Here is a 13,655-nt window from a genome sequence, read left to right as displayed (position 1 = left end):
TGTTACAGCAAAGAATAACCATGTCTAGAAGGAAGAGGAAGGAGGCTGGGTGCGGTGGCTCACGCCTGTAATCCCAGCAGTTTGGGAGGCCAGGGTGGGAGGATTGCTTGAGCCTGGGAGCTCCAAGAAAGAAAGAAAGAGGAAAGAAAGAAGTATAAAGTAACTATATCATTTACATGGAGCATCTGACTTAAATAAATTAAACAAGGCTGGGCGTGGTGGCTCATGCCTGTAATCCCAGCATTTTGGGGGCTGAGGCGGGTGGATCACGAGGTCAGGAGTTCGAGACCAGCACGGCCAAGATGGTGAAACCCCGTCTCTACTAAAAATACAAAAATTAGCTGGGTGTGGTGGCAGGCACCTGTAATCCCAGCTGCTCGGGAGGCTGAGGCAGAGAATCGCTTGAACCCGGGAGGCAGAGGTTGCAGTGAGCCGAGATCGCACCACTGCACACCAGCCTGGGTGAAAGAATGAGGCTCCGTCTCAAAATAAATTAATTAATTAATTAATGAATTAAACAATTTAAACTCTGCCAAAAACACAAAATTACAGACAAGTTAAATAGTGCAGGTGCCTTTGCCAATATTTTCATGGGTATTTGACCCAGGAGAGGTTACATGGCAGATCTCACCCTTGGCGGGGTCAGGCAGACCTCTCACCTCTCACCTGATTGGTTCTTTCCTATAGCATAGCCCAGAAATACAAGTCAATGACTTAACTGCTGTCCCACTGAAAACTCAAATAAAAACAAATATGATTTTCTTAGAACTGCAGGAAAAACTGGCTACAATGGACTTGATGATAGGTAGTACATTGGGCCCCTCAGGGCACCTTCCTAAGAAATGTTCAAAGGCAACTTTATACTCCATTTTCTTCTTCTTCTTCTTTTTTTAGATGGAGTCTTGCTCTGTTGCCCAGGCTGGAGTGCAGTGGTGCGATGTTGGCTCACTGCAACCTCCTGCAACCTCCACCTCCCAGGTTCAAACGATTCTCCTGCTTCAGCCTCCTAAGTAGCTGGGATTACAGGTGCAGGCCACCACACCCAGCTAAGTTTTGTATTTTTAGTAGAGATGGGGTTTCGCCATGTTGGCCAGGCTCGTCTCGAACTCCTGACCTCAAGTGATCCGCCCACCTAGGCCTCCCAAAGTGCTGGAATTACAGGCATGAAGCACCATGGCTGGCCTCCATTTTCTTCTTTTGCCTTGACTTTAAAATCTAACTACTATGTAAGATACGGCTCCACTGTGCTTCCTGACCATCATAAGGTGGTAATTATGGACTAGCCAATATTTAGGCTGATCTAGACAGTGCTTTGGGTTAAGGAGAGGTTTTGGATCATCCCTCTTAACAGGGGGAAATAAATATCTCAGCATCAGATGCAACTCAGGAACCTGGAGGATGACAATTGGGCAACCTGGTGGGCTTAGCTCTTGATCTACAGAGGACTTGAGGAGCTCCTTACTCTCATTTGCCTCCAATGGGTGGAGGTTATACAGGTTTGATCAAAACTGAGTAAATCATTTGAGAACTGAGACTACTTTGTCCACAAAGCTTAACTATTAGGATTGATAATTGAGACCATCTGTGTCAACATAACGTAACTCATTCTTCCAGGATCTTCTTGCCCAGAAAATTAAGACTGTAAACCAATAAATAACTTCACTGTTTGTTGCAGGAAATGTCTACACACTAATTTGTCCTGGCAAGCAATTTGCTCACCTGGGAAAACAGCTCACTTATCAAACAAGGGTTTACTTGTCAAGAGCCACTTCAATATACTAGTCTTGCTGTATCCACCAGTCCCAAGCTATTGTGGCATAGACGTCACTGAAATCAAATTAGTTCTCCACCTTGAAAAATGCAGCTTGAAGGACTTAGGCCTAGATCCCCGAATCCTATAAATCTGCCTCTTAATCTCCCCTGGCTTAGACATGAATAAGACTGTGTCCTGGTGATGTTCTTCCTTATTTCAGTAAATCTCATGAACTTTGCTTTATCAGCAGGTTCTTCTGATGGTTTTTTTTTTTTTTTTTTTTTTTTGTAGAGTCAACAGTTGACACAATATATCAGTTTTGGTCTCTTGGAAACAGGAAACATGTAAATAAGTGTTAATAGATACTTCCAACCCATAAAGGTTGGTTAATTGTTAAACATAGTCACTTGTCCTCGGTAATAAAATCTCCTCCGTCTTCCTCCTCTGAGGACAAGACCTGGTGTTGGAACACTGCCTATGACAGATTTCAAGTGCATATTTTACCTCCATTTTTCTACCTTTTTAAACATAATTCTGTATTTTCAAAATTTTCTATACTGAGGATGCCTTAATTCGAGGGTGAATGAAAGGAAACAAAGCAAAAAGCCACAAGAGGGGAATTGATTCCCAAGTGTAAATCAGAAGCGACCACCAAGTCTTCATTAAATACACACACACAGAGTACATAAAACACCCATTTAAAATCTTATCTCATTAAGCTAGCAAGGTAATTTAGTCCCATTAACATCAATATGAACACAGAAGAGTTAGACAGTTATAATCATGCTTCCTCATTATCATAAGAAGCCTTTGGGGATGTTTGATAAAATATACCAGAAAATAATATTTCATCATTCTAAGGTGCGGTCCAGGAAGCTGTTTTTTGTTTGTTTGTTTGTTTGTTTGTTTGTTTTGGAGCCCTTCAGTGATTCATACAAACAAGCCAAGGAGAGAACACATGGACGACAGCATTGATTCACTGGAAAGCAAAGTACAGCTTCCACCATAAAACCCTGCAGCTGAAAAAGGACAAACTGAGCAGCTCTCAAATAAAGACAGCCTCAGCCGTCTTGCACAGCACGGCCCCTCTCCGTGCCCGAGTCCTGTGCCTGTATGAAAGCACTAAATCACAGACCCCGCAACCTGTTATAAGCCCTGGTAACAATCAGCAGCTGGGCTCGGGCAAGCTCCCTTAGCCGGTGCTGGCTCAGAGAGCAGACTTCCCTCAGCAGCTCCATGGAGCACCGCAGCTCCCAGGCTCAGGCAGCAAGCCGACGAGTTGAGATCCCAATCAAGGCTTCCTTTTACCTTAAAGAAACTTCCTCGCTTGTCCAGACCGCGGGCGCCCATGGTCCAAGCTGTCATTTCCCCCAGCGAGGCTCCACTGCACGCCGGGGACTCCTGAAGGTAGAGACATTTTTAATGGTTAGTCCAGCCTGTAGGAAATTCCTTTCTAAGCCACAGAACACTCACAACAACAGTCCTGCCAAGATCTTTTTCCGTCAACAACACAGTGCCATTTATTTCCCACCAAGGCCTTACATCTCCCTTCAGCCCAATTTCCTGTCCCCACCAGCGCAGTTCCTAGACTGCCCCACCTCGCCAGCCCACCTCCCACCTCTGCCACTGACGTAGAAGGTCCTTGGGACTTCAGGAAGCCTAATGATTACTTTGTGTGTTTCACCTCCTGCTGAAATGTGAACAGACCCAATATTAGATGTCCCCATCATCTGCACTGGAAGTTTATAGATTGAATGTGGCTGATCACAGAGGGACAGCTGAAGAAGGAGGTTCTGTACATCCCAGGAAATCCTGCTGGAAGGGGGTGAGGTCATCCTTAGCTCTGCTGGCCTCTCCCCCAGGCAAGGTCAACAGAAGGGCACTGGGAAGAAATTGCTCTATTTTTCCCTTAGAAATCAGAAATATTTGGATAAAATCCTGTCACTGTTTACAGGGATCAGTTCACGGAAGAGGACAACATGTAAACAGCTTCACGATCATCCACAAAAGGGGAGCTGAACGTAGAGGAAAACTCAGAGGCAGGGTAACAACACAGTTCTGAATTCTAACTGTAGCTTTTTGGGCTTGGAATTTCCCCTGCTAGGGCATCAGATCCCAATAATTCTTCCCTTTGGGTCACAAAGCCTTCAACATTCAGTTCTAAGTTAAACATACACACACCTCTGCCAGCTGACCTGGCTCAGGCCTTCACGCATTGAGGGGGGCCTGGGGGAGCAACCCCAAACCCTTCCTTACCCAGTGACTGTCCCAGGATCAAGTATAAAACCACCCTGTCTTTCCTCATTCATCCCTTCTCGCCATAACATGCACAGGAGGTAGCTCATGCCAACCGTGACGGACACAGAGGAAGGCCAGTGAAGGGAATAGTGAGACTGTCTCTTGCACCATCAAGGAATATTCAAAGTGGTTCAGCTGCAGGGGTGGGTAGGCACTGAAGCTAAGGCAGCTGCTGCTGCAGGTTCACTGAGGCTGTTTCATTATTAGCTGAGTGGCAGAGAGCCAGCGACACAAACAGGACATTGAGGGCGATATTTAGGGACGTTTCAACAAGTGGAAAAGCATGAATCTATAGCTGAGAAGTGCATATCAGTGAGTGAGCAAGGATCTTTGCACAAAGGTTTTTTTCGGCCCCACGATTTACACCCCTGCTTGCACTCACAGTGAGTTGTGATGATCTGTGCACGGAATCCCATCTAGAAAACAATAGTGACACAGAGCATCCCACCCCTCCTTCCAGAACCATCGTCTCTTTGTGTCAGTGCTCCGTGCTGTGGCCACTTTAAAGATTTGACGGGGTCTTCCCTGTGTTTCTTTCCACTTGTGATCCTGCTGGGATGAAGGCCAATGTTCCAGAAACCTCCTGAGAAGGCAGTGTGCAATTTTGCTGACTCTAGAAGTTCAGGTTCTGGGGTTCATCACTCATTAGCAAAAGGCCACAGGTTGGAGCAACTCCAGAAAGAAATCACAGTGCCATGCTCAGAACTAGGGACGGAATGGGAGCCACACTGTCACCTTGGGGAGCAAACCATGACCTGTTTAGACCCAGAAGCACACAAATAAAAAAGCATACCCTGTTTTAAACCAGGCCTAATGTCTGGAATTCTTTTTATTTCAGACATTTCTTCGGCAGGGGATTTGATGTCACCTGGCAGTTCAGGAATTGCTAAACGAGAGCCAAGACTTCATTCCTCATCCAGACTTAAGTTCCTTTGTTCTGTTCTGAAGTTTTCCATATACAAACTCTTTCTGATGAGCCAGGGCAGACAGGGAATTTTGCCTACAGCATTGGAGCAGTTTAGGTTCCAGAAATGTACTAGTTTATTTTAATTAGCTGCCTGAAAACTTCATGTGTACCCTTTAACCTCCAGCAGTCCTCAATTCACCATCCAGTTTGAATTCTGCTCAGGGCAGGCAGATCCATCACATTTCAAAAGATGCAGGTGGCATCTCTCCTTCATAAGCTGCTCCAAGAGGGAAATGAGAGCAGGTGACAGGAACACACTGCCAGGTGCAGCAGCAGGTACATCCCATGGGATTAAATGCTGGTGGCCATCCAATAGTTCAAGCAGACAGTACATAGCTTATTATTATTTTAAAAAATAAAGTCCTTGGCCAGAAAAACAAAGTTCTTGGTCTGTGCAGTGGCTCATGACCAGCATTTTGGGAAGCCAAGGCAGGAGAATCACTTGAATCCAGCAGTTTGAGACTAGTCTGGGCAACATAGCGAGACCCTGTCTCTAAAAAAAATTAAAAAAAAAAAAAATAGATGGGCATGGTGGCATGCTCCTGTAGTCCCAGCTACTCAGGAGGGAGGATCACTTGAGCCCAGGAGATTGAGGCTGCAGTGAGCCATGATCGCACCACTGCACTTTGGCCTGAGCGACAGAGTAACACTCTGTCTCGAAAGAAAAAAAAAAAAGTTCTTCAGGGCCCCAAAAGAGTTCTGGTTTAAGATCTTTCTGTAGTAGCTATAGTTAGCTATAGTTTTCTTCCCCAAACCATAACCTTAGACACCTTGACTCAATATTGACAGCAATTTAATACCATTTAAAACGATAACTTCTCTTCACCTGCGCTTCCCCATGCCTCCCCACAGATGTCACCCCAGCAGCTTCATCCTAAAACCATCCCAGTAACAGGCTAGACTAAGAAACAAAAAGGGTACCGTAGTTTGAGAGGCTGTGAAATTCCTCCAGACTTGTACCGGTTGGAAGCTTGTTCTTTTCCTGGCTTCCCTGAAGGGTAAAGTGGATTCTTGAGAAAATGAGTCCAACATGTCCAGTAGATGTTTCCAGATACTAGCTAAAAGCTAGCAAAAAAAAAAAAAAAAAAAGAAGAAGAAGAAGAAGAAGGCAGCCCTCATAGGACTAAGGACACTGCAAACATTTGGGAGCTGCCAAGCCCTTTCAACAACACCACTGAAAGAATGTAAACGGAGCTGGTCGCGTTGGTCGGCGCTAATGGACAAAGGCAGGAAGTGACTATTCCTCATTCTCCTAGAGACACCAGCCTCTGTCACTTTATAGTAAACTCAGTGGTGGCTTTCCGTGTGGCCCCAAGAGCGACTGCTGTGGTAAAGCAAAGTCTGTCCTTAAAAAGCAGAAAGGATTCCTGCGTCCCCTGGCTGGGCTCCAGGCTGCACTGCCTGCCTGCTATGTGAGACCGCTGGAGGCTGGCTCCCCAACCCATTCTACTGACAGCCACTGAGGCCAGGAGCTGAGGCTGCCACCTGGACCCTGGCTGTGGGCTGGCTGACTGGGGTTGAAACACAGAGTCCCCGATTTCCATTTCACTGATCAATGGAACTGGGTTGAGTCACTGGCATTTTCCCAGCTTTTGCTGCGCCGGGCCACAGGCCAGATCTTGGCAAGATACAGAGCTTGAGAAGGATTAAGGACAGGCCTGTTCCCTCCTCTGCCCTCCCCCGTCGCCTATTCCCCGCCCACCTCTACTGTCCCTTCCCCACCCTTCCCATCCCCTCCGCTCCTCTCCTCTTCTCTTAATTTCTTTAGTCCAACGTAACCTTCCTATTTTGGGGGAAGGATTTTATTTTATTAATTGACCAGTAAAAATTGTATATATTTATGGTATACAACATGACATCTTGATATATATAGGTATACATATTGCAGAATGGCTAAGTGAAGCTAATTAACATATGCATTACCTCATATGCTTTTTTTTGTTCTGAGTGCACTTGTGCACTTACAATCTCCTGTCTTCGAAAATTTTCTTTTCTTTTCGTTTTTTTTTTTGTTTGTTTGCTTGTATTTCTTTTTCGAGACAGGGTCTTACTTTGTCACCCAGGCTGCAGTGCAGTGGCACCATCTCAGCTCACTTTAGCTTCCGCCTCCAGGGTTCAAGTGATTCTCCTGCCTCAGCCTGCAAGTAGCCAGGATTACAGGCGTGCACCATCATGCCTGGCTAATTTTTGTATTTTTTGGTAGATGTGGGGTTTTACCATGTTGGCCAGGCTGGTCTTGAACTCCTGACCTCAAGTGATCCACCTGCCTCGGCCTCCCAAAGTGCTGGGATTACAGGCATGAGCCACCGCTCCCGGCCGCAATTTTCAAATACGCAATACATTGGTATTAACTACAGTCACCGTGTTGCACAATACGGCTCTTGGACTTTTTCCTCCTTCTGAACTGAAAGTTTGTATCCTTTGACCAACATCGGCCCAATCTCTTCTCCTCTTGCCCCCACCCCAGCTTCCTATTTTATGCTATTTTATTTACTTTAGGTCACAAGTGCAAACCCACAAAAGAAGCAGCAAAAGCAATTATATTGGATTCCACTACTCACAGTTCTGACTTAATAGACACTTAGTGTACTCAAGTCCTGGATTCTCATCTCCGTGCTGCATGAGGTTGGCTACAGAAGCTTTCTAATCACAACCTTCAGTTTTTCTTTCTAGCCGTTAAATGAGGCCGGGCAGCACGGACTTCAGTCTCAGTAAACAAGACCTCGTTATTGTAATTATTTTACAGCCAAATTGACTGAAATAGGAAAAAGTGACTCACCCTAGAGGACCTGTCAGGTCAAGTCCGAATCTAAGAAATGCATCTCACTTTTTTTGCCTGGTCGCTTAACCAGCTCCCAGGGAGACAGGTCATCTCTCCTTTTAATGCTTTTTGTTTTTTTCTAAGAGAGGTAGGAGGAAATGGAGGTGGCTCTGTGTCTGGGTCCAGGGAAGTTCTCTGAATATTTCCATAATTATCTTTGTATTACTCAATATTTTACACGTTGGACAGACAAATGTTATTCCAGGATCAGACTTGACAATTCGAACTATGTGAATTGAAAGAAATTTTTAAAGTGTCTTGGATCACTGTTTGACACAGGTTTTCCCTCACCCAACAGTCATTTTAAAAAAAAATTTTAAGTTTGAAGGTCATGAAAACTTTCCATTGAAAAGACAAGCTAATTTACGAGAAAGAAAGAAGTCATATGGAAAGAACTGTATTCCCAGCCCCCTTACTCAACAACAGTGTTTTAATTTTAATTTTAATTATTGTTTTTGAGACAGGGTCTCGCTCTGTTGCCCAGGCTGGAGTGCATTGCTGCAGTCACGGCTCACTGCCCCTCAACCTCCTGGGCTCAAGTGATTCTCCCACCTCAGCCTCCCGAATAGCTGAGACTACCAGTGTGTGCTACCACATTCAACTCATCTTTTTATTTTTATTTTGTAGAGACCAGGTCTCCCTCCCTATGTTGCCCAGGCTGGTCTCAAACTCCTGGCCTCAAGCAATCCTCCCGCCTTGGCTTCCCAAAGTGCTGGGATTACAGGCGTAAACCACCACGCCTGGTCCTAATCCTATTTAAAAACTCTTGTTGGCCAGGTGCTGTGGCTCATGCCCGTATGCCTATAATCCCAAGCACTTTAGGAGGCCAAGGCAGAAGGAATGCTTGAGGCCAGGAGTTTGAGACCAGCCTGGACAATATAGTGAAACCCTATCTTTCACATAAAAAAATTAAAAAGTATTTTAAAAATGTAATTAGGAACAATGTCCAGTGCCTCAATTTTTCTAAGAGTAACCTTTTTTTTTTTTTTTTAACAAGGTGGTGTGAGGTGCGGTGGTTAAAACTCCTTTCTACCACTTACAGGACTGGCCTGTAAATGGGGTTAATTCTGGTGGAAGTCCATCCCTTCTTTCCTTGGAAAACTGGTTCACAGACTCATAGAAACTCTCACCTTGTCCACACCACAGAAGCCCTGCTGGTGCCCATGTAGTTACTGGCCATGTGACCACCCGAGGGCAACAGGTGGGCTCCTCTGCTGGTTAGAAAGTCCTCCTTTTCTGACTGGACATGGTGGCTCATGCCTGTAATCCCAGCACTTTGGGACGCTGAGGTGGGAGGATCACTTGAGGTCAGGAGTTCAAGATCAGCCCAGGCAACATAGGGAGACCCTGTCTCTACAAATAATAACAAAAACATGAGCCAGGCATGGTGGTGAGTGCCTAGGGTCCCAGCTACTTGGGAAGATGAGGCAGGAGGATTGCCTGAGCCCAGGAGGTCAAAGGTGCTGGGAGCCATTATCGCTCCGCTGCACTCCAGCCTGGGTAACAGAGAGAGACCAGGTCTAAAAAAAAAAAAAAAAAAAAAGTCCTCTCTTTCTGGAGTAGGAAGCTTCTCTCACCTCCTATCCAATGCCCTCATTTTCCCCCTTGGGCCATTTAAGAATTAGCCTCCTGAGGCATCCCTCTTCGCCACCCCTGCAGGCATCCCTTATTCCTCTCTTGACTGATGGCTTCTCCTGCACCGGTGGCCCAGGCCTCAGGGCTGATGGACTCAACTCACTTGGAATATGATTGAGCAGGGAAAGAGGGGTGGCTTCCCCTTGGCTACCCGCAAGGTCATTGAAAAGTCTGCATACAGTTGACCCTTGAACAATGGATGGGGTAAGGGTTCTGAGCCGTCAAAAATCTGAGTACAACTTTTAACTCCCCCAAAACTTAGCTACAAATAGCCTACTATTGATCAGAAGCCTTACTGATAACATAAGCAGCCAATTAACCCGTATGTTATGCATTCATAAGATACCTAGCATTGTCTTAATTTTTTTCAGTATTTCTAGGCTACACAACTTGTGCGTTTTTTTCAAATTGTTGCAAATCTCCCCCAGAATTTTCCAATATGTTTATTGAAAAAAACCCGTGTATACATGGACTAGTGCAGTTTGAAAACCTGTTTTGTTCAAGGGTCAACAATATTTCCAAACCTCCTCACTCGAAAAGCTCCATGTGATCAGTGGTCACACAACATATGTGTGCAGTAACTTCATGCAATACAGTGCAGAGGTGTCATAAGCCACCTCAGCCCGTAATCCACAGAATCCCATGGACAAAGAAGCCACACACACTGGGACTTCCTCAGGGTCTACTCATCAACCTGTTAGCAGTTGAGTTTAGAGCTTTCTTTTCCAAGGCTCTCTGTCCATGATGGTAAAAGAGTCTATGTAGGTGATTATTTTTCATTAGAGGTTGTAATCTGGCAGCTTTGGATTTTGTGTGTGGTATGACAGTTTTTTCATATAGCTATTCATTTAATTTTAATTTTATAGAAAATAGTTTTAGGGATGAATACTTTCCTTGTAAACTTTGTAAAAGAGACATGATTGATCAAAAAGATTTTTGTCTTCGTGAAACTTTACTGTTTAAGATTCCTGCTCTGTGAGGTGTTGGCTGTTTTCATTATTTCTATGAAGTTCCAAATTCCCTGGGTTACATTTGGAATGTCCGAATTTTGTAAGACTGATGCTTCCGTCACTTGTTCCATCATAACAAGTGTGACTGGGTGTAGTTAGTGACAGCTGTCATCAGGTTTTCTTCTACCAGTATCATTTTTCTCAGACCAAGTTTTTTTCACTTTCCAAAATTACAAGCAAGATAAAATTCATCAATTTATGTTTGGATCTATCACAAATTCTGTTGAGTGCATCTTCACCCATTTCATTCTGAAATGGCTACAATACCAGTGATTTTGTAATTCTTAGACAGTCAATAATGAAAGTAGAAGCAATTCCACAGAAACTCTAGGAATATTCTTTGGCCCAGCAATGGAGTATTGAAATTCTAAACACAATACTCTTTATTCTTACAATGTTTTTTGTTTTGTTTACTAACAGCCTATGTCATTAGTGGAGTAAAGAACATAAACAAAGTCCACAGGGTTACATGAAAATGTCCTGAGTCTATTAGCCAGGTGTGGTGGTGCATGCCTGTAATTCCAGCTGCTACTCAGGAGGCTAAAGAGGGAGGATCTCTTGAGTCCAGGAGATTGAGGCTGTGGTGAGCTCTGATTGCAGCACTGCACTCCAGACTGGGTGACTCTGTGAGGGGCTCTGTCTCTTTTAAAAAATAAATAAATAAAATACAATGTTTTGGGTCGAAATGTCATGACAACCAGTGCTATGAAGGAAAAAGAGAGGAACATCATCCCTATATAATAAATTAGCCTCTAGGATACATCTTGCCTGGAATCTCATGTACTAATTTGCTTCTTTTCCTTCATTTTGACCATGTATATGCTGATGTCTTTCCAAACTTTCCCCTTCACCATCAGGGTGTTTACCCTTCCCTTTAGTTAGTGATGCGCAGGGAAATGTTTAACAACTGGCTTTCTGGGAAATAAAAGCCCCGGGTTTTAGCATTTGCCTATTTTGTGGTGTAAATACTCCCATCATGGCTGGTTTCAAGCTACCAGTGTGACATCAACAGACTTGGAAAGTTCATGAAATTTTAACAATCAGCTCTAGTGAGCAGGGAGAACCAATTCCAGGTCACCACTATATTTAATTCACTAATTCTAAACCACAAGGTCTCTGAAGAGGTGGCTTTTATTTGATTCTTCATACACTTAAGTAATAAAAGATAGCAAAAGTAAGAAACTAGATCTCTAGACTGAAACCAGTGCTTTATCCATGAAACCACATTATTTGTCACTAGTAGGACACGAAATATTTCTGGCTCTCATCTTAACCAAGTAAAATGCTGCCATCGGGAATAGTTAAAGGAAGCCATATGTTCGGTCTGTTATTTTAGACTTAGTGGGTTCCATTTCTATGGAGGTTGAAGAGAGAAGAAGAAAAGATCTTCCTTTATGGAACCAGACATTAGAGATCTCATCTGCTTGTTCACAGTGGTGTCTTTAATACCTTACGTGCTGCCTGGTACGTATGTGCTCAGTAAATGTTTGCCGAATGAGTAAGTGCATAGGATTTTACAAGGAAGTCATCTAGGCTAAAGAGAAGGGTTTTTAAAGAATGACTTTCTCGGCTAGGTGCAGCAGCTCACATCTATAATCTCAGCATTTTGGGAGGCCAAGGCAGAAGGATCTCTTGAGCCCAGCAGCACAGCAAAACCTCATCTCTACAGAAAATTAGCTGGGCATGGTGGCATGTATCTGTGGTCCCAGCCACTCAGGAGGATGATGTGGAAGAATCGCTTGAGCCTGGAAGGTCAAGGCTGCATTAATCATGCAACTGCACTCCTGCTTGGGTAACAGAGTGAGACGCTGTCTCAGAAAAAAAAAAAAAAAAAAAAAAAAAAGAATGACTTCCTCTAAAGCATAAGATGATAGGAAGAGCCATGCTTATCTTTAAGAATTCCTAGGACAGATAAACGCCAGCAACACACATACCATGCTGTTGACCCACAAAACATGCTGGAAATTTTTTTTTTTTTTTTTTTTAAGACAGAGTCTCACTCTGTTGCCCAGGATGGAGTACAGTGGCATGATCTCGGCTCACTGCAATCTCCACCTTCCTGGTTCATCAATTGTCTTGCTGCCTCAGTTACCTGAGTAGCTGAGATCACAGGTGTGCACCACCATGCCCAGCTAATTTTTGTAATTTTGTTAGAGACAGAGTTTCACCATGTTGGCCAGGCTGGTCTTGAACTCCTGGCCTCAAGTGATCCGACCGCCTTGGCCTCCCAAAGTGCTGGGATGGCATGAGCCACTGCAACCGGTCTGGAAAAAAATACATATTTTTTGATACCACTTTGAAATACCAAAGAAATGAAAGAGTTTAGGGAGTCCATGTGTTCTCTCTGTGGTTGGATTTTTCTTACAGAGTTCTATGATCTGAAGATCTTTCCTCTCTCTATAGCATACAAACCTACTTTATTCTCTACAAGTCCACTAGCCAATCATGTTTCTCAGCCCTTTCATTTTTGCACAAATTGGAATTCTAGAGAAGTCTCCGGGTGTTTGTCCAAGTCAACACATCAGCATTGAAGATCACACAATGAAAAAAGTCCACGGAAACACGTGCTAAACTCCCAGTGAAATATATCGACCAGTGAAGCAAATTGACCACGCTGTGTGTTTGTGCATGTCTTTGCATCCATGTGTTGTAGGATTAGAGCCTTAAAATTTCCATGCTTTCTCTTAGGAAGTGGGCCGGAGAACAGATAGCCTCCTCTGAAGAATGTCTTCCTTGTAAGCCCACGGATTCCATGTGGACAGTCAGCGGAAGCACAGTGTCTAATATCAAAATAACAACATACCATGACACCTTCTAAACATAGTAAATGTGCCGATAACAGGTATTAATATTTAATACCATCACACAACCAGACTCCAGAAATTAGCAAGGGAAAAGCATAAAGAAAGTAACAGTTCTCCAAAATAACTTAGTATTTTGTGTGTCTATGAAAGAGTCATAAAAATCCATGTAATGCTCTCAGAGATATCTGTTGCCATCACCAGAAAGGTGGTTTTGGTGGCAGCAATTGTGCCTCAGAAGTTCAGGCATGTTTAAAAGTCTGTCTTGGCTGACCAATGGCATTCATGTCTTTTGTTAGGAGTGACAAGGACATAGGATATTTCACAAATCCAGTTTCCTATTATTCAGTTTTGCACTATTTGCAACTAC

At 43.9% G+C, this 13,655-nt stretch overlaps 1 protein-coding gene across 16 annotated transcripts in view, besides 1 other annotated feature; it reads right to left on the bottom strand.

Moving 5' to 3' along the window:
- The window catches only part of RIN2 (Ras and Rab interactor 2), a 244,858-nt gene that overhangs the window by 109,737 nt on the left and 121,466 nt on the right, over positions 1-13,655 (bottom strand). For 7 of the 16 annotated variants that reach the window (XM_047440212.1, XM_047440213.1, XM_017027888.2 and 4 more), the window contains 2 exons: positions 5,940-6,083; positions 3,062-3,154 (listed from right to left, as the gene is read on the bottom strand). In XM_047440212.1, the coding sequence (XP_047296168.1) occupies positions 3,062-3,154; positions 5,940-6,050 (204 nt within the window). In that variant the 5' untranslated portion in view covers positions 6,051-6,083. Of the gene's footprint in view, positions 1-3,061; positions 3,155-3,423; positions 3,534-5,939; positions 6,088-7,579; positions 7,752-13,655 lie in introns of those variants that run through there. The other 9 variants (XM_047440215.1, NM_018993.4, NM_001378238.1 and 6 more) reach the window with 6 other exon arrangements.
- Positions 6,480-6,980: an enhancer, noted in NCBI's record as "H3K4me1 hESC enhancer chr20:19866384-19866884 (GRCh37/hg19 assembly coordinates)". NCBI's record gives its function as "activates a minimal SCP1, AML or CMV promoter by ChIP-STARR-seq in primed H9 embryonic stem cells {active_cell/tissue: H9 hESC(primed)}" and the evidence as "EXISTENCE:reporter gene assay evidence [ECO:0000049][PMID:30033119]".

Source organism: Homo sapiens, chromosome 20 (assembly GCF_000001405.40).
Source record: "Homo sapiens chromosome 20, GRCh38.p14 Primary Assembly".
NCBI lineage: Eukaryota > Metazoa > Chordata > Mammalia > Primates > Hominidae > Homo > Homo sapiens.
This window is presented reverse-complemented; position numbering and strand designations above follow the sequence as displayed.